Below are 27,379 nucleotides of genomic sequence, written 5' to 3'. Positions count from 1 at the left end.
CCTCTGTGTCTCCCACTTGGGGAAAAAAACTCAATACCTGTTTGATGAATGGATGAGTAAATGAACACATGAACACCCCAACTGACTTGTTCAGGAAATGCCATAAAATATTCCTGTACAATCCCTCTCTAATAATTATTCTTTGAGCTTGGACTCGGTACCATATTCTCTCTCAACAGCCTTATTTCCTCCCTCTGAACTGTAATATGATGGGTCTTCATTCAAACAGCCCATTTTCCAGATTCCTTTCATTCTAGTTCTTACTTGGACCTTTGTCTAACCCTTGAAATCTAGGAGGGTGCCCCGTATAAAGGTAGGTATTTCTAAGGTGATTTTAAGCCCATGGTAGATTCAAAATAAAGCCACTGCAGGTCATTGTTTTGGGGTATTTAGCGTCTATGCAGTCTGATCATTGACTAAAATGCAATCAACTGGGAAAAAAAATAGCTTCCATGTCCCAGTGTGTGTCCAAAGGAAAGCCTGGCTTCTCTTTTTGGGAGATCTATTACTAAACACTTGCCAGTTTTGCCACCTCCAAATTTTTTACAATGGTCTCCTGATAAACCTCCACCAACATTTATTTTGTCTTCATATTGAATGCCCAAGGAGCCTCCAAAACATGTCGTGATATCTCTGCTGGTAATACCTGCAACAGGGAGACAGAGAAACACAAAATGCTGAGTTATTAAAAGACACTTGACATGGTACAACTATGTCAGAGTAGTAAAAGCTAGCTTCAGCTTTGGAGTCCAAAAGGCCTGGGTTGAAAGCCCGGTTCTTTAATCCAATTTCAGTTTTCTCTTCTGCATGGTTCCAACCAAAATAATTCTTGAAATGAGAAGAGATATGTGTTGCACATACTAGTTGGTAAAAAATGCTAGCACTCTTTCCTTTGACCATTCTTTATTGAGCCACCTTGAGGCAATAATTCTATCTCATCCTTCTGCATTTGCCCCCATGCCTACCTCAGTGCCCGGGCCATGATAGGCACCATTACCCTGAACTTTTGCACATATTTGTCCCTACTCTAAATGCCCCTCCTCCTCCCTTTCCATCATCTTTCCAAAGGCTACTCAAGCTTCCATTCAAATGTCATTTACTCCATGAACTATTTTTAGATCTGAATAATTCCCTCTTTTTTCAGAGCTACCGATGTTCTCTGTGCCTGAATGATCATCTTCATCACAATTCTCTTTGTCCAGATCCTCTTTGCGCCCCAGAGAGGCCAAAGTCTTGCTAGAAGATGGATGGATCACCATGGAAAGTTTACCTGCCCTTCAGACTCCGTAAAGACTGTCAGGCCCACGTTAGCCATCTCTGTATTTGTCTACATCTGAGGACCCACTGAGGAACCTGCATTTTGTAGATGAGGAAAATAATTCTCAAAGCAGTAAAGCCACATTGCTATGTAAATAAACAGAGCTGGGTTTCCAACCCTAGGTATGCCTGGCAAGATAAAACTAGATAAACAGACTGGAGGAATATTGCCCATGCTACAGAGTTCAACCTTTTCGGTAGCTAAAGGAGTCATCTGGAAGTTGTAAATGGGAGTTTGTATTTTGAGACATGATTCCTTTAAACTACAACTATACAAAATAATTATTTCCAGTCATACTGTTATTCTATCAACCATAAAGGAAAAATAATTTAGACCTGTCATTCAGTTGAGCTAAAGATTAGATTCACTATTTTCAAGGGAGTATTGAGCATCAAAGTTTATTTGCCTGTGTCCCCATTAAACAGCAAACTCTGTGATGTCAAGGACTTGCGTCTAATTCACCATTGTCTTGTTAGCGTAGCAATGTGGTGTGTGCCGTGTTCAGTAAGTACTTTCAGAATAAATGATTGATGAATGAAAAAAATGAGTAAATAAATGAATGCCCCGAGTCTTTTGGTAAGGGTTTCTGATGGAAGGAAACTTAGAAGTCATAAGTCCTAAATTCAAATTCCAGTCACTAACACCCTGTATGATCCTAGGAAAGGCCCATGATCCCACTGGGCCTCCATTTCCCATTTATGGAAAGAAGAGGTTGTCATCTCCAAGACCCCTTTCAGCTGCAGCCCTCTGTGCCTCTTTGGATATCAGTTTCTGAGTCACTCCTGAGCTGAAAGTGCTTGGGGAAAGTGATGCTCTGAGCACCGGCACTCAGCACTGAGCAAAGGGCTTCTTCTGCCATTTCCATTCAAACACTTTTAATTTTTAATGCATTACTAATTGGGGGAAGATTTAGCAAATTTAATTGTTTTGATTAAAAAATGCTTCAACAGTGATAAACAAAAGTGGATGAAAAGAATTCACTGGCAGAAGCCAGAGTGATTACTTAGGTGGATGGTGGAGTGCTGCTGAATTAAAGCCACAGGACAGGCTGATTAATGGGGGCTGGAGGATGCCTGTTGTGTGATTATGCTCATGAAAGATCTGGCAACAGCCTGCCACGTGATGCTGGGAGAAGAGAATTCCAGTCTGACTTGAGAAGCATGACTTGACTGCAGAGATTTGCCATCTAAGACCCCAAAGAGGGTCCCAGCCAGCAAGGGGAGTCTGTGACTTACAAAGAATCATAGAACCTGAGAGCCCAAGCACTCTTAGACACTTAGCTCATACTTTTCATTTATAGCTGAGATGCCTGAGGTTCATGAAGGTTAATTATATTGCCTAAGGCCATACAGTTAAAAAATGGTGAAGCTGAGATTCACGCTCAAGTCTGTTATGTTTAGAAGCCTGTGGTATTTTACTAATCTCAGTTATTGCCTCAGACAAAAGAATTCTGCCATCTGAGAGGAAAATGTAGTAAGCACCTACTGTGTACCATCCCCAGCATATCGCATATTGGGCAATGTAGACACCTTGAGAATATAACTAATGTGAATATGATGCAAAACTGCAAAGGTAAGATCCTGCCCTTGAGAAGTTAGCAGGCTGGGGGCCATATCTTAAATGAAGACCAATCTGTATCCCGAGAGTTTTTTGTTTCAATATACCAGGGCTAGAAAGGAGTCTTTCATCAGAGGCTGTAAGAGATGCCAAAATCAGAGCTGTCTACAGTGAGCCTGTGGGAAAATGACACTAACAAGTTGGGGTCGGGTCAGAGGAAGTCAAACCTGGTACCCAAATCCAGGAGTTGAAACTGGCATTGGAAGCCAGGACGCAGAACCAGAGAGATAAACAGAAAGAGTTGGAGGTGGGGGTCTGGGGTGAAAGGAACAGAGAAAGGTCTGGAGCCATTATAAAGAACTTGCCCAGATAGGTGTGTAGTGTGGATAGACTGACTATATTCATGGAACTAGACAATCCTCTGCCATTGCTCCACCTCATCCCATCAGGCTGCACTCCTTAGGCTTAACTTTGGACCAGGTCAAACTGCAGTTTATTTGGGGCTTTTGAACTCAGTGAGCTCTGGAGTTGATCAATCCCAACCCAGGCTGTACATTGAGATCATCTGGAGTACTTTTGAAAAATATAGGTAACTAGGCCCAACCTCTATCAATTCTAATTGTATATTTCTATGAAATCAGGAATCTGTTTTTCAGACAAGTATCCCAGATGATTCCTCTTCATTGGATCTTGGATCAGATGTTGAGTATGGTGGTCCTACAGAGTATCTCTGGTGGCTTGCCACAGGACTCTGGCATCCTGTCTCAGTTGATACCTTTGTCAATGCCTTGGATATGGACTTAGTAGCCAGTTCCATCATATCTACTCAGAATAAGAACTAGAAGAAGCCAAGGCTAAGTCAGTTAAAGAAACAGGATCCAAAAAGGTCTCAAAAGGCTGGGTGGATACACTGACCAAGTGTATTAGTCCATTCTCATGCTGCTAATAAAGACATACCCAAGACTGGGTGATTTTATAAAAGAAAGAAGTTTAATTGACTCACAGTGCAGCATGGCTGGGGAAGCCTCAGGAAACTCACAATCATGGAAGAAGGGGAAGCAAACACATCCTTCTTCCCATGGCACCAAGAAGAAGTGCCAAGCAAAGGGGGAAACCCCCTTATAAAACCAGCAGAACTCATGAGAACCCACCCATTATCATGAGAACAACATGAGAGTAACCACCCCCATGATTAAATTACCTCCCACCAGATTCCTCCCATGAGACGTGGGGATTTTGGGAACTGCAATTCAAGATGAGATTTGGGCGGGGACACAGCCAAACCATATCACCAAGCATAGCAAAATGAGACTGAACTGGGAAAACTTTAACATCCTACCCTACAGACAAAATACCAAATGAATAAGCACAGTGAGAAATAGACAGCTTAGCGGGAGAACAAAAGAAAAGGCCTTAGAGTTTTAGATTACTCCCCACTCAGTAGGGTAATGAAACCAGGGTACAAATTATAATTAGTAAAATGAAGGAGGAAGTAATCTCACTCTCCTCTCCATAGATTAGGGAAACTCAGAGCTGTGTGCAAAAATGCTTTAAAAAATGAAATAAGAAAATATGATTTTCTTCAATGAACATTATCCAGCCTTTAAAAAGAAGAAAATCCTGCCATATGTGACAATGCGATTGAACCTTGAGGATATACTGCTATATGAAATAAGCCAGTCACAAAAGGATAAAGACTGCCTGATTCCACTTATATTAGATATATGAATAGTCAGATATATAGAATCAAAGGGTATCATGGTTGTTGCCAGGGGCTGGGGGCAAGAGGAAAGGTAGAATTACTAATCAATGACCATAAAGTCTCAATTATACAAGATAAAGTCTGAGAGCAACATGTCCCTATAGTTAATGACACTGTATTGTACTGTTAAAGTTGGCTAAGAGGGTAGATTTCATGTTAAAGTATTTTTACCATAATAAAATTTAAAAATAGGGAATGATCAGAGAAGAACAAGCATGAGGGTGAAGATGTTCAAAGCCACATCCTTTTGAAAATATTAGAGGCGACTAAGGATATTTACTTGAAGAAAGGAAAAAAGATTTATCTTTAAGAGAGACCAGTAGAACTGGATTAAACCCTCCAGAGAGTTGTCTTGAGGAAGAAGAATAAGGTTTATTTGTGTGGTTGCAAGGGCAAGAACTAGGACCCAAAGGCCAAAAGCTACAGGAAGGCAAGTTTAGGCTTAGCATAAGGTCGATCATTATCACAGTCAGAAGTCAAGCAGAGATGAGGTGTTTCAGCAGGCAGTGAGCTCTCACCATTGCAGGAGACCAAGCTGAGGCTGGCTGTTTGCCTGTGAGGGTACAGGAGGGTTTGAAGGGTAGAAAAGACCAGCGATCTTTTAAGGTGACCTCTAATGCCATGATCCTGAGACTTTAAGAACACAGCAGAATACTTTAAGAACATTTGAGACAACTTTGATAAGTACCTAATGACGTTTTACTGTGTTAGAGCTAGTTGAGAAATAAAGATGACTCAGGAGAGTGCTTGACCTCTATGAGCTGAGAGTCAAGTGTGGGGAAATGGACAAGGAAACAGATAATTATTGTAGTGTGCGAGGAGGACTCTGACACAGGGCAGCAGGGTCAGGGAAGGCATCTGTGGGGGTCAGAAGAAGGAGCCAGAGACAAGTAGAACAAGTAGGGATTAGCCAGACAAAGCTAGGAGTATAATGGGAGATGAGGGAGACCCTGCAGAGGACTTGTTTCCTCAGCAGCAAGATTCTACTCAGAAAAGCCAATGTGACTTAAACTCCAGAGTGGAAAAGAGAGAGATGCAAATCAGTTGAGGTCCCTAAGGAAGTACAGAGGTAGTGGGATGCTGGATTGCTTCCCAGTCTAGTCTGGTCTCAAGGTGAGCTGTTTCTGTGGCTACTTGACAGGCTAGGAGCCCAAAGGATATGAGTCTGGCCACCATGTCTTCTACTTGTTTCCCACATGGTCTTGGTTGTGGCGCAGGTGGGAGAGCCACCCTCACACCTCCATGGAGCTTCTGCATGTCTGTGGCTCTCAGGCAGAACCAGGCAGCTTGATTTCCAAGGTGCCAGAACACTGCAAGTCTGTCATTCCTCAGATTAAAAGCATTAGGTGGAAAACAGCAGGTGTAGTTCATTATCTCTTTGCAAAAAACAAATACCATTCATGTTGCTGTGATTTATGTGCTACATTGCTTTGCTATGTTGGTTGCCCCCAAAGACAGCCTCAGAATGGGAAAGAGAATCTAATAGTCTATTTTCTATCATCACATTGGAAAAGATGATTGGAGTGTGTGGCTGGGCTAGTTGGGAGGTGTTAGCTAACTCACCTGTCCCCTTTGTGTTTCTGTTTATCCTTTAAAACTCACACTTCTTCCAAAACACCTGAGAATAAAATGAGTACCTCAGTGCCTTTGCAGGTGCTAGAAAGTCCCTTTATCTCTTTCATTGAGCTTCTCCCACTGAGCTCCAGACAGCCTTTTCTTAATCCCCAAGGGCCCTATGTCTATGTTCCAGTGTATCCCTGTGCTTCTCTCCAGCATAGTATTTAGCTCACTCTAGTAATTGTCAATTTCTTGGTCTGTTCTTCCTATAAGACTACAAGCTTCTAAGTCATCTCTCGGGTTTGCAAATCTCTGCACAGAGCCTGGCATGTGCCAAGCCCCCCAGGAGGGCTTGGGGATTGGCTGACTTTAGCCTATATAGACAATGCCTCTAAAACGTTCTAGGAGTCATAGGTCTTTCTTTAATTGAAGATGCAAATCACAGTTTTGTAATATCTCATGCTAGATTAATATGCTATATTTTATAAAGCACTTTCAGCTGCATTATCTCATTGGAGACTCTGAACAATATTCTGGGACAAGGAGAATTTACCCATCTTACAGGCTAAGATTGGAAAAAGCAGGAATTGTGGTGGTTAAGAGTGTAACCTCTGGGGTCAGAGTCCTACCATTCACCTTCTCTGGTAGTGACTTGAGTAACTCATTTAATGGCTTTCTGCCTCATACTCCCAATCTTTAAAACGGGAATGATAATTGTTTCTATAAGTGAATTCCTAAAACGTGTCTGGCACAATTAGGTCTTCAATAAATACTAGCTTTTATTGTTAGGTAACTTGCCAAAGTCACCCAGGACTAACAGGCCCAAGAATCAGGTCTTGAAGCAAGATATGCCATACTCAAACACAATGGATGCTCCATTTCATCATGCTACTGTTATTCTGCAGAGGAACATTCATCATGCATGGTGTGTAGCCAATGGTAGTCCTGAAAGGAGCCTTCCAACTCCTCATTCCCTGACTACCTCATTCTACAAAGAAGCTTAGAGAAAGGAAGCTAGGCAGAAGAAGGAGGCAATGTTGACTACAGTCCCATGTCTTCCTCCTACTTGATAAGGGTTCTTCAGAGGCTCTGACTCTTCTCCATAATTTCAGCCATGACAAGAGACAGCGTAGATGAAGGCCAAATTCTGAAACAGAGACTACCTGAGCTGGAATGCCACCCCTGTCCAATGACTATGTGGGCAAATTGTTTAACCTCTCTTGCCCCAGTTTTCCCATCTGTAAGATGGGGATTTTAATACTGTCTACCTCCCAGGGTTGTTGTGAGTGTTGAATGAGTTAATCCATGCCATGTAATGTGCTCTGGACAGTGCCTGGTTCAGAGCTAGCAATCACAGTCAAGTGTTGCTATTACTGCTGTTGCCAGAAATGCTGCAGCCTACACTGAGGCTTTTGGCTCCTGATTTGGAATCTGAAAAGTTAGAAAAAGAGGGAGGCTGAGGAGTTTGTAAAATCAGGTTTTCTTAATGGGCATTTCTGCAGTATAAGTGGTTAGCCCAGGAGCGAGTGGGGAGGACAAGGGCACCCGGTGACTTCATAGGCACTATTATGTACTGGGTGGAGATATTCCATGTGTTAGCTCACTCAGTGTTCACACATCATGCCACAATAGGAATGATCAGTCCCATTTTAGAAAGGAGTAGGTTGAAATAGTTTAAACTTAACTTAGATAGCTTGTCACTTGCCCAGGTTATACACTAAGTAAATAACAGAACTGGGATTGAACCAAGGCCTGTGTCCAAAGACCACGTTCTGTATGCCATATTATACCGCCTATGGGAAAGAGAGCTAAGGATGGCTCTGGGAAGAATGTTGACACCATCTCAGCTTTTCTCCTTTAAGTATGAAGCTGTTCTCAGTGATATTAGAGGTGGAAATTCAAAATCAAGACAAAATCAGAAGGATGGTGCTGAGAGTCTCAGTTCCATGTATATGCAGATGACTTAAGGGGAGTAAGGACAGAGCCAAGAAACTAGGAGTCTGTCAGTCAATCAATACCATCCATCACCGTGAAGACTGGTTGTCATGGTAACTGGGGATAAAGCCTGGAGCTTGTTAGAATCTAGTGACTGTCTGTTCGGGTGACTGGTTGGTTAGCAGGAGCAAAAATAAATAAATAAATAAAAAGACCTGCTGGGCTGTCCCAGAGCCTTTAGCCATGAACATAGGACCTTTTACAATAAGATTCCTGCCCACCTTACCCTCCTTATTGTCCAATTCAGTTCAGAACTTTAGGATACCACCCCTGACTCTGCAGTGTTAGGAAAGCTCTGGAGGCTGCCCAGCATACATGGGCTCAGATTTGGAACCACCCCAGCTAGAAAGACGCTGAGTCTCTGCTGTGGGCCATGCTCAATCAATGGGCAAGACTCTGGGATGCAACATTAACAGGATGCACACTGGACACAAGCAGCTGCAATAGTGTGATACTCAGATCTAAGTCCTGAGTACACTGAAGCACCTAAAACAGGCTTCCAACCCAGAACTGAGGAGACAGAAAGACTGCCTGGAAGAGTCCTATTTGAGCTAAGCAGAGAACTGAGGATGAATAAGCATAAACCAGGTGAATAAGGAAGGGCAGAGGGAGAGGTGCAAAATTCCAGGTAGAAGAAATAGCATATGCAAATCAAGGAGAAAGAGTATGGTAAGTCCAGGGACCAGTACGTTGCTCAGTATAGTGCACCCCAATGGTGAACAATGAGCTGGAGGTCTGTGCATGCTCACTGAAATGCTGGCCTTCTTTTCCAGACGCAGAGGCTCTCTTGCTTTCAGTGTTCACCTTGCATGATTCCTGCAGCTTGCCATCCTCTCTGTGGTTTCTGAGAGGTCAACACTGACTCTAGCCACTGTTATCATCACTATTCCTGGCATAATCCAGCCAAGATTGTTCTCATTTATGCCCTGGCCTCAGCAGCAAGCCCTTCCAAAACCGAGTCCAACCTTTGAGTGAATCTGGACATTCATCTCCTTTTACTCATCCTTACCTACTTGCTGCCCCAACCATTCCCATGCAACTCCCTTCTCTTCCAGGTAAACTTCTACTCCTAGTAATTTTGGAAGATGAGTTTTGAATGTCTTTAGGGTCTAGCAAGTGGGAGGGGCAGAAAAAGTTGTGGCTCCCTCCTTTGTGCTTCTACTGTATTTGTTTCTATTTAAACATTTATCACATTATGTTATTCTTGGCACCCAACTGACTGCACATTTCTCCAGGGAAGGGCTCTGTGTGTCTCACCCCTGTGTTCCCAGAAATCACGGGTGCTCAGTGAGCATTTACTGAATGAGTGGATGAATGGATGAATGGAGATTAGATTACGAATACGGTTTTTCCCCTGAGATTGTTTCCTGTTTCCAACTTTGTGCAACAAGGGTAAATGCTCTACTCAGAATCTTCCTGAAAGGGAGTTATAATCAAACAACCAGCCATGATATATAAATGTGATGGTAATTTAAGGGACTTTGATTAAATGTCTTTCCCACCCCAATCACTCTCCTCACATGGCTTAATCATCTGGGCTGCCTTTGTCTTATTTTAATAACTGTATAGTAAATACACAGCCCAAGAGCCCTGTTGCCCTCAGTCCCCAGCCTCTGGCAGACATCACTAATCGATGATAGCACTTTCTGGCTGAGCCCGCATCTTGTGTTCCAATCTTCAACTCAGCAGTCTAGGTAGCATTTGCTATTAAGACCACTTGCCATCCCTGGCTTAGACACTTCTTCCGACATGCAAGTCTCTGAGGTTCACCTCTTTGAGTGTCACCAGCCAGCACACTCTGCTTGTTCCTGGCTCTGTGCCTGTACTTAAGTTTCAGAACAATCTCATGCTTTTCAGTTTAAACATTAACAATTCTCCCAGTTACAATTCCCAATCAATGGGTCAAACTGACTCAACATTACATTTAGAAATAGATATAAAAATAATACTCCCTTAATTATTTTTAAAACCCAATTTACTCACTTTCAAAGCTATCACAACAGTTTGATGTTCTTAGAAAGGAAAATAAATGAAATAAAATATCTAGGTTTACTGCAAGAAACACTGCACTTGGAATTAGAAAGCTGGTTTCAAACCTCGCCCTGCCTCTGACCAGCTGTGTCACCTTGGACATGTCATCTTGCCTTTCAGTGCCTGGTGGTCCTCATCTGTGAAATGAGGACAGCCATAAAATAGAGCTTGAAGGGTTGCCACAAGGCTTGGATAAGATGATGTGTATGAAAGGGCTCAGCGTGCCACCTGCCACAGAGTTAGAACCCAGTGATGCTTATTCCTCTATTTCCACTGAGATACACTCTTGGAAGCACTTGATTACATGAGACTTTCCAGACCTAGCTCCACAGTTGTTATTGACATCTGCTTCCAGCTTTCCCACATGTCTATCTTCCTATGATGGTTAATTTCATATGTCAAGTTGACTGGGCCGTGGAATGCCTAGGTATTTGATCAAACATTATTCTGGGTGTTTCTGGGTGAGATAAACATTTAAAGTGCTAGACTTAATAAAGTAAACTGCCCTTTCTAATGTGCATGGGCCTCATGCAATCAGTCGAAGGACTGACTAGAACAAAAAGACTGACCTTCCTCTGAATAAGAGAAGAGTCTTCCTTTCTTCAACCTGGAACATTGGCTTTCATTTCCTGCCCTTGGACAGGAAATGTTGAATGGAAATGTCAACTCTTCCAGGGTCTCAAGCCTGCTGGCCTTCAGACTGGAAATACATCACTGGCTGCCCAGGTTCTCGGGCCTTCAGACTTGGACTGAAACGAAAGCATCAGCCCTCCTGGGTGTCCAGCTTGCCGACTGCAGATCTTGGGACTTGTCAGACTCCATATCACATGAACCAATTCATTGTAATAAATCTCTATATTATATATACATTTTATATAAAGATAAATAATAGAGACAGATACAGGTATTCTATTAGTTCTGTTTGTCTGGAGAACCTGACTAATACACTTCCCAATGCCTCCCTTAGGGCTATTGATGATTTTTCCTTTATTTAAAGTAATTAAATATGTTTTTATAGTTAGTAGAGCACACTGAGTTAAGACTGTGTTTTCAATACTTTCTTGACCACTCTCAAAGTAAGAAATACATTTTACATCATGATCAGTCTACACACATTCATTTAAAAGAAGTTTCTTTTCTTTTTGAGACAGGGCCTCTCTCTGTTATCCAGGCTGCAGTGCAATGGTGTGATCTTGGCTCACTGCAACCTCGACCTCCCAGGCTCAAGTGATCCTCCCACCTCATCCTCCCAAGTAGCCGGGACTACAGGCACATGTACCATGCCTGGCTAGTTTTTTGTTTGTTTGTTTAATTTTTATAGAGATATGGTCTCCCTATGTTGCCCAGGCTGGTCTCAAACTCCTGGGCTCAAATGATCCTCCAGACTTGGCCTCCAAAAATGCTAGGATTACAAGAAGGAGCCACTGTGCTTGGCTTAAAAGTTTAAATACTTAACTACACTTTGTGTGACATACTTTGATACTTTGTGTTCTATTACATTTTATTTTTTAAATGCTGATCATGACCCACTGAATTTCTTTTACAATCTACTAATGGGTTATGGTCTGAAGTTTGAAAAATCCTAGGTTAAGGCATCCTTGAGACATTATAGCACCTTGCTTAACATTACAGGTTCTTGAGTTTGACTTCACCAAGTAATAGCTATGTGACCTTGGGCAAGCTATTTAACAGAAAATCACTGAGTCTCAGTTCTTCTTTTGTGAATTGGAGATTATATAATAGTATCCTCTTCACAAGTCTCTCCTGAGAATTAAATGAGATGGTGCATTTAAGGTGTTTACCCTAATGTCTACCACACAGTGAATACTCAGTAAATCTTGGCTGACTTACCACCACTGCTAAAGTCTAAGCCTCTCACATATAGTATCAGAATGAATGACAGAATGTATGGAAAAAGGGATGAGTACTTGGAAGATATACAAAATCTAAATCAGAAGACCTAGGTTCAATACTAAGTGAGTCACACTGAGCCATTTACTTAACCTCTTTGGATTTCAACTTTCTTTCTATAAAACTGGGGAAAATAACAATATAATTCCTCATAAAGTTATTATGAGGATCAATTTGAATGCCAGATGTGTTATGCTCTACAAATAGTAGATGTTATTATACGCAAAAACATTGTATTAAAACAAAATAGTGAATAAGAAAATAAATTGCTAGTTCACTTTGGGTGGTAACCAATTTGGCTGTCCACAGAGTAAATTATCCCTGACCATAATCTGATGATTATGACAAAGAGAAACCCCCTTACTTTCTATGAGCCCCCTGATGAGAGGGACAATGTATTAAGCATCTTGGTATCTAGACAGTGTTTCCCATGTTATGTGTACTTCATAAATGTTTGTCGAGGGAAAGGCTAGAGGACTGAATGAAATACAGGAAGGCAGGGAGGGAGGAGGAAGAGGATGTAGAGCTATAATTGGCATTAACTTTGGTGAGGTTTTAACTTCTGTCCCTGTAGCTTTTTAGACATTGTGTGTTAGGTGGTAGACTGGCTGGTCCACAAGCCCTGACTGGAATAAGATGATCAATAATAGGTTGGATGTACTGAACTCTTGCTGGAAGGGTCTTTCCCAGGGTCACTGTTATCTGGTATCCATCAGGGCCAGGGATGATGGAAAGCACACACTGATTTGAGCAGAGTTGTTAACACTTTGAAAGATAGTGATGAGAGTTCAAAGTGACCTTGATAAATGGGAAGAGTGGTCCCTCCAAAACTGGATGAAGCTCTGGAGACAGAAATGAATGACCTTGATCAAAGAAATGGGCAGGTGGAGGAGGAGGCATGATTGCTGAGGCTCCAAGTCCACAGCAAATATACCAGACACTGCAGGCTGGACATCATGATAATGATTTCCCTCCCAGTTGAGCAATGTTTCAGAGCTGGGTGTTTGCAGAACTCTGGGAGATGGATCTTCCTCTTATCCCCACTTTACAGATGAGAGAACAGTTAACATTCCAGAGTTGATAACTGTAATTTGAGAATAATAAAAATGTGGTAATAATAACACCTACACTGTACAGCAATAATAGGTAACATTTTTGAACTCTTACTCTGTGTCAGGCACTATGCCACATGCTCACAAAGATTGTTTCACCTCAAGGTTACAACAACCCTATGAAGTATGTACTCTCATTGACTCATTTAGAAGAGGAAACTGAGGTACAGTGAGGTAAACTAATTTGTCTGTGGGTCACATGACTGATAAAGGGTGGAGATAGGACTTGAATCAGGCAATCTGACTCAGAACCTACTTCAGCAATTGAAATTTATTGAGTGCTTATTGGAATGTGGGTACAAAATAAGTTCACTTATTCTTCACAACCAACCACTCTATGAGGCAGATGACAGTATTTCCAGCTTGCAGGTGAGGAAATTGAAACTTAAGATGATTAAATTATCTGCCCATGATTACACAGTTAGTAAGTGGCAGGGTCCATGTTTCCAACCACTGTGCTATATCCATATTCTTCACTAAAGGGAATACATATCTATTGAACACTTATCATGCAACATGCACTTAGAATTATTTTCAACCAAACAAGCCCTTGTTATCATTCTTATTTGGATCTTGAAGAAACTGAGGATCAGAGAAATTAAGTGTTGTTCCTCAATCAAAGTCATACAGCTACTAAATAATAGAACCAAGAGCCCCACCCAGATGTATCTGACTTCAAAGTGTGGACTTCTTGCTACCATGTCACTGGCATGTTTCTTAATTTCACAGAGCTTGATCAAAATGGCTTTAGTACTTACTGACTCCACCTGAAATTATAATCCATAATAGTAAGTGCTGCTTGGACAGTATTTAAGGTATCACAGTGCTTTTCATGACTATCTTGGTTAATTCTCACAACAGACTTTTAAAGTAGTTATGACAATCTCTACCTTAGTCATGGAAAAACTGAGACTCAGAAATGTGACATACCAGCTTCTGAATGTTAGAGCCTAGATTAAAAAAAAAGATATCTCAGGGAAAATAATTTTTTCCACTATCACACTGCCTGCCATCTTTGATGGGGCCTACTGTCTTTGATATGGTGGCAGAATGGCTACGGCTGTTTTTGTGAGCAAATCATCAACATAAGTCATTTTCTGTGAGGTCTTTGCAAAGCCCTTTCAATAAGGCCAAGAATCACAGCAGTTTAACTTTCTATTCTATGCAGGATTTCTATTACAGCATCCCTGATAGAGGTGTCCCATCAGACTCCCTGAGATTCTTTAACTGGTAGGAAGCATTCTACTTCATGTTGCATTTTGAGGGACCCAGGGCACAAAAGCTGAAACAAATGTATCAGGTCCTATCTACATGAGCCACAGAAGGGGTCTGGAGCAGACCACCACCAACTTTGTTCCAAAGGCATTTATGAAACATCCATCTAACCTCTGATAAATTTCTCATTCTGCATGTCTGCTTGGCTGGAGGGAACCTGCAGAGAAAATAGCATAGAATGGTCATCAGTAGAATCGGGAATAGAGAGAAAGGGATGGATTGTGGATACGGAGGAGGTGACTAATGAGATATGTAGGGGGAGAGAGGGGAGAGACAGAATTTTTCCCAGGCTGTGAGTCCCAGTAAAGGCGGCTGAAATGAAAAAGAAAGAACCCTGGATTTTAACTCACTTTGTATATTTTTCATTTACTAGTGATATGACTTTTTTGCCTTGTTTCCTTCATCTGTAAAAATGAGGAAACCATGCCTCCCTCACAGGATCATTGTCAATCTTAGGTGAGGAGTCTTGGTATGGAGCTTAGCACATAATAAATAGTCAATTATTTTTCCACCTCTCTATGTCAAGTAAACTGGGAGGATGGTGGTGTCTCTATAGAGAAAGAATTCAGGAAGAAACGCTTGAAGGGTTTAGGGTGAGAAGGACATGAATGTTATTCCTGGAGGTGCCAGCTTCCTGGTGGAGATGTTCACAGGCATATGAAAATATGGGTAGGGATTCTGGAGAAGAAAGAAGACTCTAGATGGAAATGTGGAGGTCATTCACATGATGGTAAGAGTTGCAGGAGTAGAAGAAGCAAGGAGAATGCAGCTCAATGAGTATTCGTGGTGCATCTACTGTGGGCCCAGCCTTGTGCTAGATACAAAAAATACCCCAAGGACAATAGGCCTAGGACTTGTACATCAAAGTTCATAGTCTGCAGAAGAGACAAATATATAATTGCAATTATTATAATATGCACTTAAATATGTATGTATATTTAGAGTCCCTTCTTTGCCCCCAGAATCCCTACCATATTTCCAAATGCCTGCGGGATGTCTTTACCATGAAGCTGGCACCTTCAGGCAAACACATCCTGTCCTTCTCACCTCAATGTGTGTATGTGTGCATGCACACACACTTATGTGTGTCTATGATAAAAATACAATTTAGAGAAAGGAGTAATTGACACCTCACAATCCACACCCAGTCTATCTATAAATTCCTTAATTTCTACTTTCAAAATACATCCCAAATCTATCATATTCTTTCATGTCCATTCTTTATTCCTCACCTGGACATCAGCAATGCCCCTAATTGTTCTTCCTGAGTCCACTCCTGCTCCTCTAATCTGTGTTCTACATGGCAATAGAATGGTCTGCTGACCCGTTGATTAGACCAAGCACTGCCCTGTTGATGACCCTGCAGTGGTTTCTCTGCCACCACAGATACAGTCCATACTTCTTACTACGGCCAGTAAGACCCTCTGACACCTCTTGGCTTCTTCCAACCTCAGTTTCTGCTATTATTCCCCTATTCCGAGGCTTCTGCCACACATGCCTTCTTCCCCTTCACAAACACACCATGCTCTTTCCTCAGACAGGGCCTTTGTACAAGCTGTCCACTCACCCAGAGCACCTTCACCCTTGTCTTTGGCATCTCCTTATCCTTTGGATCTCATCTCAGTTTGGATTTCACTTCCTCAAACAGACATTCCCAGATCATCCCAAACTAAGTGAATATCTTCCCTCACCCCCTGAAGTTACTCTCTGTTTTTACAACTTGTTCATTTTCTAAATGGCTTTTATCACAATTCGCGATTATATATTGATCAATTAATTCACAAGTTATTAAGTCCCTACTATATTCTAGGAAATGAATATGCAGTAATAAACAAAAATGATTGGAATGAACATTCTAGAAACAGGAGATTGACAATAAACAAATAAATCTATGAGTATGGGGGCTACTGATTTGCTGAGAATTAAAATAGGGTGATATAACAAACAGAAACTTGACTACATGGTCAGGAAAGGTCTCTCTGAAAAGGTGATGCTTAAGGAGGCCCAAATGATAAGAATACTGCTATACACACATCAGAGGAAAGGGTGGTTCCGGCAAAGAAGACGGCTAATACAAAGACTCTAGACTATAGTAAGCTTGGAGTGCCAGAGAGTTACAGGAACAACAGTGATGACAACACCTGCAACAACAACAACAACAAAGAAAGAGAATAAGAGACCACCATACTCTTGCAGTATCCAGGTGAGAGACAATGGTGGCTTGGACAAGTGAGACAGTAATAGAGGGAGAACAGGTGATGCATATGCTTTAGAAGTAAAGTCAATATATCTCGCTGATGGGGCCAGGAAGTAAAAGAGGACCAAGTATGATATTTGGACTTTGGCTGTTTATTTTGTTTCCTCCACTGGATCGTAAGCTTTGCAAGAACAGTGACCATACTGATTTTGTTCTTTTCACATGTGATACTCATGTGGACATGGTTGAATGAATGAATGTATAAACAGATGAAACTATGGGAGAAGGGGTGGAGCAATATCAGAGCGGGTTTCACAGAGGTGGGGATGCCCCTACAAGGTTCAGAAGGATGAGCTGAAGTTTGTCAGGTTGGCAAGACAGGGAAGAGAGCATTGGGAGACGAGAGAACAGCATGTGCAAAGGAGGCCAGGAATATCCAGCTGAACAGAACAATGGCATTGAAGTACTTGACCTGTCCAACATATATTGGCAGCTTTGTAACCAGAGAAGTCAGAATGCGAAATACATTATTTCTCTTTTGTATACCTTGATACAAAGACAAATAATGACAGCTCCAAAGAAGGAATGAAGGAGGGGAAAAAAATCTAAATCTAGAAATTTAAGCCCCAAACCGTACTGATACCTGCGGAAGGTAGAAAGCTGTCAGTCACAGCCCTTGAGGAAATGTTAGGATCTCATTGAAGTCTAACGTCACCTCCCTAACATCCAAGACTTCCCTTGATTTTTGATGCATGGTTTCATGCTGTCTTTGGGGGAGAAGCATGTGATCTAAAGGGCACATTAGAAGAAAACAGCCTCGTGCATCCTCTGGAACGAACCCAGAGAGGATCTGAGCAAACCCAAGGACAAAAGATTCCCCCAGAGCAAACCAGTGAGTATGTTCACTTAAATCATTCCATGCCAAGCTCAGTCCTTTGCAGACATGAATGTTCACCACACAGGATGTCTCTTAGAAACAGCCACTTAATAGAATATAAATTAATAGCATATAGATCAAAGATACATAGAGAGAGAAAAAGACAGTGACAAAGAGGAAAGAGAAAAGGGAGAGAGAGAGAAAGGTACCTAGAAAGAAACGGAATGAGACCGAGGGGAAGAGAATAAGACAGAGAGAAAGCTATTAGATTGATACAAAAGTTGTGGTTTTTAATGGCAAAAACTTCAATTACTTTTGAACCAGCCCAATATAGCAAACATCAAAATGGAGAAAAGGTGTGTGTGATTCTGTTTGTCAAAAGGAAAGAAGGTAGATATTTTTGTTCTTTGTAGGTTAATATGTAAATGACATTCTGATTTATTAGCGGTCTCCAGCAGATGAGGTGATGATTAGCACATTTCCATATTTATAGAAAAGCAACACTAACTTTCCGGATTTATAGAAAATCAGCTCTTCACAAATAGCAAATTGTGCTATTATCGACATATGGTTTTCTATAAACAGAGCTGAGGTAATTATCCCTGGGACAATTTGTCGGTGGGCTCCTTTTGAATATTAACCACATTGGAAGCCCATTTCAGCCTCACAGATTTTAAAGAGGAGGGGCCACCAGATACCCCAGGCAATTAATTAGTAATCCAGCCCCAAAGACGGGAGCCCAAATGAAAGGCTATACCACAACCACATGGTGGAAGACTAGAGGTCCAGGGCTCTGACCCCAGATTCTGGCAGGCCTGGACTAAGTAATTAGCCTCTCTAATGAGCCACAGCGTTTATGTAGCTAAAACTTGGACAACACCGATCTCTAAATGGTGTCAAGAAAATTAAATGAGAATATGTGCAATAGCCCCCGAAACTTAGTAGGTGCTCAACAAATGTTAACTCTTTTTTCCTTCCTCATGTTTTTGAATGATTCTTAAAAGACCCACTTGAGTAAAGTTTTTTAAATGCTTTTTTTACATTTTACATTTTTTACATCCATTGTAAGCTACTTATTTTGCATCATGACACGATACAAATATGCATGTTTTTATTTAACTGGAAAAGATTTATTGAAGTAATAATTTATCTTTAGTGCCTATAATCCACTATGATATTTTCTATTCTGTCCTTTGTTGTTGTTCAAAATTTTTCTTGTGATCCATATACATTGATTTTGAGTACTACAATTGGCTTACAACATGTTATTTGAAAAATACTGTAATGCAAGAGGGTAGGAACCATATTTAGATTTGTTCACCATCATATCCCTAGCACAAACACATAATGTATACTCATTAGAGCATTTGAATTTTTTTTAAATGAATATGTAGACGGATGAATTAATGAATGACTCTAGCCAGGAATCTAAATTAATGCTTCATCTCGAACTTCCTGTCTTGTTTTGAACACTATGTATTAACCCCTGTGTTGAGTGTTAAAGAGAGAAAAGTGGCAGGCATGATACTTTTTTCAAATATCTTGCTATCTGGATAAGGAAGATAATACTAACATTTGGAAATTTTTTTTATATACTTTAAGTTCTGGGATACATGTGCAGAATGTGCAGGTTTGTTACGTAGGTATACCCATGCCATGGTGGTTTGCTGCATCCATCAACCCGTCATCTACATTAGGTATTTCTCCTAATGCTATCCCTCCCCTAGCCCCCCATCCCCGACAGGCCCTGGTGTGTGATATTCTCCTTCCTGTATTCATGTGTTCTCATTGTTCAACTCCCACTTATGAGTGAGAACCTGTGGTGTTTGGTTTTCTGTTCCTGTGTTAGTTTGCTGAGAATGATGGTTTCCAGTTTCACCCATGTCCCTGCAAAGGACATGAACTCATCCTTTTTTGTGGCTGCATAGTATTCCGTGGTGTATATGTGCCACATTTTCTTTATCCAGTCTATTATTGAGGGACATTTGATTTGGTTACAAGGCTTTGTTATTGTGAATGCTGCTGCAGTAAACCTACATGTGCATCTGTCTTTATAGTAGAATAATTTATAATCCTTTGGATGGGAGAAAAATTTTGCAATCTATCCATCTGACAAAGGGCTAATATCCAGAATCTGCAAGGAAATTAAACAAATTTACAAGAATAAAGCAATTCCATCAAAAAGTGAGCAAAGGATATGAACAGACATTTCTCAAAAGAAGACATTTATGTGGCCAACAAGCATATGAAAAAAAGCTCATCATCACTGGTCATTAGAGAAATGCAAATCAAAACCACAATGAGATACCATCTCATGCCAGTTACAATGGTAATCATTAAAAAGTCAGGAAACAACAAATGCTGGAGAGGATGTGGAGAAACAGGAATGCTTTTACCCCGTTGGTGGGAGTGTACATTAGTTTAGCCATTGTGGAAAATAGTGTGTCAATTCCTCAAGGATCTAGAACCAGAAGTACCACTTGACCCAGCAATCCCATTACTGGAAAATTGTTTTTTAAAGACTACCTAGTGTGGAATTTTATGTATGTGTTGAAGAAAAGGAGTAGCCAGCCTGGGATGATGCAGTCAAGGAAACTTCTTAAAGCTGGGAATTTGAACTTGGCTTTGCAATATGGATAGATCTCTTATCCTTCCTCTCACTCATTGAACAGGTCAGTGGTTCTCAAACTGTAGTAGCATCAGAATCACCTGGTGAACATGTTAAAACACAGACAGCTGGACCCATTCCCAGTTTTTGATTTAGTTAGATTTGGGATGGAGACCTGAGAATTTACATTGCCAGCAAGTTCCCAGGTGATGCTATGCTGACTGTTGGGGCCCACACTTTGAGAACCACCGTTCTCCTAGGTTGGAGTAACATCATTAATGTGGTCGATGCTAATAGTCTTTATTCTTAGCCATTCAAGATATTAAGCAAGGAAGTGATATAATCAGATCTGTGAAGTAGAAAGATCCATCCAATTATCGACAATAGGTTGGAAGAGGTGAGCCCACCCCCAGAGACCATTTAGGAGCTGATGCAGTAACAAGGGAAAGATGAGACCCCAGCATACCTCAGTAGGAGTGGAGATGGAGGAGAGTGGAAGAATGAGAGAGAACTGAAGCACCTTAGAGATCTACCGGAGTGAAGGAGAAGGAGGAGTCTGAGATGAATGTAAGTTTCTAGCTTCACTGACTGTGTGGTAGTTCCATTAACCAATAATACTACATTTAAAACAGGTTTTCACATTTTAAATAACAAAATCCCCCCAATTATTTTTTTAAATAAAAGTAACTATGATGCAATAAGAAGCATATAGTTTTAGGGGGCTAGACAAGTCTGAGCTCAAATCCTGTTTGTGGTACTTATTAGCAAGTCTCACTCTTCTGGATCTCAGTTCCTTGGGAGTAATAATACTTATGCTATCCTATAGAGTTGTCCTAAAAACTAAATGAGATCACCCATGGCTCATAGTCAGTGCTTAGAAAACTTCAAACCATGACCTGGTGTCTGTGTTGACTACTGTGTACATAGAGCTTCTGCTTTACTTACCAAGGGATTCCATTTTTGCTTTGTCAATCACCAGGATATATTCATAAATGCCACCCATGGATCCAGATGTGATGTAATGGGTGCCATAGTCATTGATGAACTTGGCATACATGCCATAATTGTACTGATCTGGAAGCTCCATTAATGACTGCAGCATTCCTTCATCCAGCATAATGTCATCCTTCCTCATCTTAAAATGTGCAGTCTGCACCTTTGTGAAGATTCTTGTGAAAATGAATTTCTGCCAGCAACCGCCATTGAATAAAGCAAAAGAACAAAGAGAGCATATATTTTACCATTAGAAATAATGCAAAAGGTCTCTGGGTGCAGTGGCTCATGCCTGTAATCCCAGCATTTTGGGAGGCAGAAGCTGGAGGATCACAAGGTCAGGAGATCGAGACCATCCTGGCTAACATGGTGAAACCCCGTCTCTACTAAAAATACAAAAATTAGCTGGGCATGGTGGTGCATGCCTGTAATCCCAGCTACTCGGGAAGCTGAGGCAGGAGAATCGCTTGAACCAGGGAGTCAGAGGTTGCGGTGAGCCGAGATCGCTCCAGCCTGGCAATAGAGCAAGACTCCGCCTCAAAAAAAAAAACAAACAAAAAAAAACAAAAAAGAAAGGATGCAAAAGGTCAGCTTTTAGTAGCTGTAAGAAATATATATATGTATTTACGTAAATATATATTTAAATAAATATATATTTACGGAAATATATATATATTTACTTAAATATATATTTAAATATATATTTAAATAAATATATATTTATTTAAATATATATTTAAATAAATATAAATATATATTTACATAAATATATATTTATGTAAATATATATTTAAATAAATATATTTATGTAAATATATATAAATATATATTTATGTAAATATATATTTATATATAAACACGTATATGAACATAAATACATGTAATTGGAGTACTACTATATTTCACAAGCACATACTAGGCACCAATGTGTGCCAGACTTCCCCCACACCTCCATCTCTGTTCCCATTGCCCCTGCCTAGGTCAAGTTCTCATCAGCTCTCACCTGGGTGAGCTACTACAATGGTTTCTTCATTGTGCTTCACCCTTCTGTTCTTCTCCCAATCTATTCCCACCCCCACACTTCTCCTAGTGCTAATCAAAGCACTGCATTGTGAAACCTCCTATGCTAATATTACATATCCATTAAAAACTGTGTTTAAGATATCTTTAGTGACATGCTGAAATGTCATTCAATTGAAGTTATTGAGCAAAGATCTACAATGCCTATAGTAGAATGCATTACACTAGGTGCAGAGGACATAATCTTGAATGAGATAGGCTCCTGCCCCCATGGAGTTTACATTCCAATAGTAATCTTGAACTAAGTAATAAAGAAAAGCAGCATCTTTATATAAAAAAATAAGAGATAGCACTGGAAGAATTTTGGATTGGTTTTACAGGAAGATGGCCATCTATGGGCTTTACTTTCAGGCAATAGAAGCCTTGATTCAAAGTGATGATGGAAGTTAGAGGAGTCCACATGCTTTTAGAAAAGTCCATATTAACACGCTACAGATAACCCTTGAACAATATAGGACTTTACCTTCAGCTCAATAGCTAATTCTTTGGCAAAGCTCTAGGACTCAATTTATGTGTGTTGAGTAAGTTGATTTTTATAACTATATTTTCATCATTCAAGATAATTTTTGAACCCCACCTTGATCCATAGTCTTGGTATTAATGCAATTGAGAATTTTTAGTAAGCTTCTAATTAATTCAATAAATATTCCCCTGGCCACCTGATTACATCTCCAACCTCATCACTCTCTGTTTTCCTTTCCCACCCTGTGCTTCAGCTGGCTGAAGTACTTTCAATCCCAAGTTTTTGTGTGGCTTCCTCATCTCCAGGCCCTCGCACATGCTGATTTCCATGCCTAGAGCACCTTTCTGCCAACTTTTGTCTCCCTTTGTCTGGACAATTTGCACTAATCTTTAGATCTAAGCTTAGATCAATGTTCTTTCCTCAAGGAAGCATATATTGACCCCCCAGGATAATAGGCACTTAATGGTGAAGGTTTACTGGAAAAATGAAATTTTTTTTTTTTTTTTTTTAGCATACCAGTCCTTCTATCTTTTTGGAAAAGCAAGGCTTGCTTTACAATTCTTCCAAGTGAAATTTAGAGGGTCTGGCTGTTTCTCTTAAAACATTACCATTCTACACATTTCCCTATATGCTCCAGGTAACCATAAAAAATGATGATGGGGGGGGCAAAGTGATAAGAGTCCTAGTCTTATCATTCAATTTTATTTCCTTTGTGATGATTCTGTGTGCAAAAGCGTAATAAGAAAAACAAACCTGATTACCACTGATCAGACATTTCCAATTACACAAGCAAATTAAGGTTCAATTACTACTGTACTTTTTAATGCAATTAAGGTAATACGTGTTCAGTGTATATTATGGAATACTGTGAGACACAGACATTATGTTTGAATACCTTCTCATTATACTTGTTTAATTCGTTCAAGAATGAAGTGTCTTGTGAGTGGGATACACCTACACCCACCAATAAAGGGCTGCCGGCTGGGCCTATGCCGATGGTCACTCCAAATGAGTCAGACTTGTCTTTTTTAACTTTGGAAAGAAGGTCATTTGCATTATCATAAAACTCTGAGGAGATTCCAGTATCTGCCAGGGCCTGAAAAAAAAAAGGATAGATATTAGCTTTGTGCACATAGAGCCATTTCTCAATTCATATTTAATACTTAAATCTTTGCTTTGTAAAATATCTAAAATTTTAGATTATGGTAGGTAATTCTTTTATAAGGCAATCCAGTCATTAGACTGATACTTATTAAAATATAGAAAACACAGCATTGTTAGTGTTTAGTGGTACTGATAAAATACTTATTTACACACCACATGTGCTTGCACACACACACACACACACACACAGATGCAGATGATTCTGATCAAATGCTATATTGCTCTGAGCGTGGATTTCTTTCTTGCTGGCTTATCCTTCCAGGAGAGAAGGCTGGCTGCTTGTCTTTGCAATAGTGAGATACAGAAAGCCACATCTGGGCAGGAGCCTGGGAGGAAAGAAGCAAAGGAAACCTGCAGATTTGGATTGTCTTAGGCAGTGGTATACAGGATTTCATTTCTCTGCTGTCTTGAACTGAGACATGGTCTTGGCCTTGTTTGAGCCAAAGAAGTAAGCCTTATGAGCCTGTGAGTAGTTTGCTCTGCAATCATGAGAGCATGTGTTGAAATGGAGCCTCCATTACCTTGAGTCCCTGAGTGTCTGTGATGGTCAGTTTCCTTTCTACTTTAGGGTGGACAAATAGCATAAGCAAGGTATTGTTGCTTCAGCTGCTGAGATTTGAGAATTCTTTGTTCCCAAAGCACTTAGTCCGTCTTGCCTGATACAGAGCCCCAAGACCTTCCTTGAGATTAGGAACATGGTGTTGTTTATGTCTTCCACCTTGATTTACCATTGGCCTGATAGAGAGTAGAGGTTGGAGTGGGGTTGGGGGAGCAAACTTCTTAAAAACAGGCCCTATAAGCTTGGCCTTATTTTCTGTCAGTATTTTGTTCAGAATCCTAGGATCCTACTATCTCTCTCTAGAAAGTGTATAATCTATCTCTTCTTCTAAATGTTGTGCAGCCTGGACTTAGTTCAGACAGATCTAGGTTTGGGTCTTGTCTTTGCCACCAACTGCAGTAGAGTTTGATCCTGACACTTTAACCCTTTGTGTTTCTTTTTCTTAATATCTAAAATGAGGCAATGATAATATCTATCCCATTGTGTTGTGAGGATTAAATGGGAGAATTTGTGTGAAAGTAGAAGATCTGACACATGTTAAGCATTCAATGATGTTCGCTGTGTGGATGTTTCACCCAAAGGATGAGTGGTAAGAAAATTAATGGCCATGAGTAGGCCCTTGACTGATCATGAGCTCCAAGTGACCAAGAGACCACCAAATTGTAGAGATGGAGAGAGTCTTAGTGATCGTCAGCAATTTGCAAGCATTTTTGTACAGAAGAACCCTTGCTTCATACAAAATCACATACAAAGAGCCAAGACATGAAAATGATCAGTGTGAGCTGCCTTTGGTGAAACAAAAGCACAGGTCTCAGAATCCTGCTCATCTATGCCCTGTCCTCCCCCACACTCTACAGATTAGAAAACTGGGCCCAAGGAGGGCAGTGAGTTAGCTGCTAACAGTCTTGTATATAGTCTAACAGAGCCACAACTTAGAAATAGGTTGTCTGATTGGCAGCCCAGATAATAGAGCCTCAGATCTATTTTACTGATTTTGGAATGGAGCCAAGATTTAACAGGTGGGTAGCCACATTTATGATCTGCCTCTCAGCACCCTTCGACACTAAGCATGTGTGGGGATGGGTATGAAGGAGACTTCAGACACCAGCAAACTTTATAGAAAACAAAAGCTTCCAGAGCAAGTCATCTCCACAAATAGGCCTCTGCCTCTCTGCCACCTACACCACAGTGGCCTCAGAGCCCCTCTGTTCAGACTTACTTCAAAGTGGTACTTCAGAAAGTTGTAGGGTTTCCGAAAGTATTTCTCATCATCTCCATAGTAGAGACGTTCACAGGTGGAGTCATATCGAAGCTCCCTCCATTCCCCATTGTATACCGTCTCACACTGGCCCCCATAATAACTGGCATCGTACACACTCTGAGCATCTTCCTGGGTCAGGATATTGTACCTACATGGAACAAAGCAGCTTCTAAATAGCTAGTGGATGCTGGGTTTTATACCTGGGTGATGGGATGATCTGTATATTAAACCACCATGGCACACGTTTACCTATGTGACAAACCTGCACATCCTGCGCATGTACCCCTGAACTTAAAATAAAAGTTGGAAATTAAAAAGCAAAAGCAAAAGCAGCTTTTAGGAGAGAGAATTAGAAAAGCAAGGTAGCATATAATGTCATCTTCTGAAAGATGTTGTAGCTGGTACAAGTAACAGTTTCTCAATCTATGTTCTGTGGAGCCCTGGGGTTCCTCCAAGAAGCTTATGGGCCACTTTAGGTAACACTTGGAGACTAAATGGGCTGGCCTGAGCCTTCAGATTTCCTTTACCCAGATCATCTAGACAGTCCTATTTAGCATCTAGAATCATATTCCCACATGGGAAGCAGCCCTAAATATTTGTTGAATAAGTTAGAGAAGAATATGTGCAATTATCATGAATCCAAGGGCAGCAGCCAGACAGTCTGGGCCCATTTCCCATCTCTGCCACATCTAGCTGTGTGACCTCAGGCATACCATTTAACCTCTCTGTGCCTCGGTTTAGTCATTTGTAAAAAGCAGTTCTTAAATACTACTGCCCTCATAGAGTTAAATGAGTTGAAACATGTAAAGAAATCATAATTGTGCTCAGCATACATTAAGGACTGAATAAAGGTTGCTATTGTAGCAATTGTTAGTATTAAGTATAATTCTTAGTATAGTATAAGGGCTCTGCTGCTACAAAAAAAAACTTTGAAATATTGGATGCAATTCATAGTGCTAAGGTTGAGACTCTAATCCTCAGAAAGGCCATTATCTTTGAGGCAGCATGGGACATTGGAGGGTGCACAGTTCAAAAGTCAGGGAGACTCCTGTTTAATTTCCAGCTTTGCCACTTACTAGCTGTATGACTTTGAACACAGTCTAGAAGCTCTCTGCATTTCATTTTCCTCATTTAAAGAATAGACATAATAATACCTACCTCTCATGGTTTTTGTGATGCTGAGAGTATGAAACTAAAACAGCAGTAAAGTACATATTAGGCATTCAACAAATTATACTTACTTTTCCCTAGCCCAACACTCTTCCAGAAATATTTCTCTATACTTTCCTTTCTAGAGTATTTAAAAATCATCAACCCGGGTTCCATGTTTTAGGATATGGATGGTTTTACCATATTCAGGTAAAATAATGTCAAGCAGATGAAATACAGCTTTAATTTTCTAAAAAGGGAAAGTTAACAGAACAAAAACTGTAGAGTTGGCTAAGAGTTCTAAGACCTGACAATCAAAGCCTCTTATGTTGCAGATAATGTAGTTATTGCTCGTTTTTTGTCTCTCAAACTCCTATTTAACCTTAAGGAGCCAACTCAAATGTTGCCTTCTGTCAACAGCCTTCTTTGAATGCTCTGGAAAGACTGCTGTTTCCTCCTCTGTGTTCCCAAGGGATGCAGTGACTACCTGTAGCATAGCGATCGTCATGA

General features: G+C 40.6%; 1 protein-coding gene across 3 annotated transcripts in view; it reads right to left on the bottom strand.

Moving 5' to 3' along the window:
- The window catches only part of C8A (complement C8 alpha chain), a 63,427-nt gene that overhangs the window by 10,911 nt on the left and 25,137 nt on the right, over window positions 1-27,379 (bottom strand). Inside the window, exons 5-8 of one of the 3 annotated variants that reach the window (NM_000562.3) lie at window positions 25,679-25,868; window positions 23,632-23,832; window positions 21,146-21,386; window positions 521-646 (exon numbers count right to left, since the gene is read on the bottom strand). In NM_000562.3, the coding sequence (NP_000553.1) occupies window positions 521-646; window positions 21,146-21,386; window positions 23,632-23,832; window positions 25,679-25,868 (758 nt within the window). Of the gene's footprint in view, window positions 1-520; window positions 647-11,183; window positions 13,216-13,496; window positions 14,676-21,145; window positions 21,387-23,631; window positions 23,833-25,678; window positions 25,869-27,379 lie in introns of those variants that run through there. The other 2 variants (XM_017002234.2, XM_011542079.3) reach the window with 2 other exon arrangements.

The sequence above is a fragment of the Homo sapiens genome, chromosome 1 (genome assembly GCF_000001405.40).
Source record: "Homo sapiens chromosome 1, GRCh38.p14 Primary Assembly".
Taxonomy (NCBI): domain Eukaryota; kingdom Metazoa; phylum Chordata; class Mammalia; order Primates; family Hominidae; genus Homo; species Homo sapiens.
Note: the sequence above shows the minus strand (reverse complement) of the source record. Positions and strands in the feature narration are given on the sequence as shown.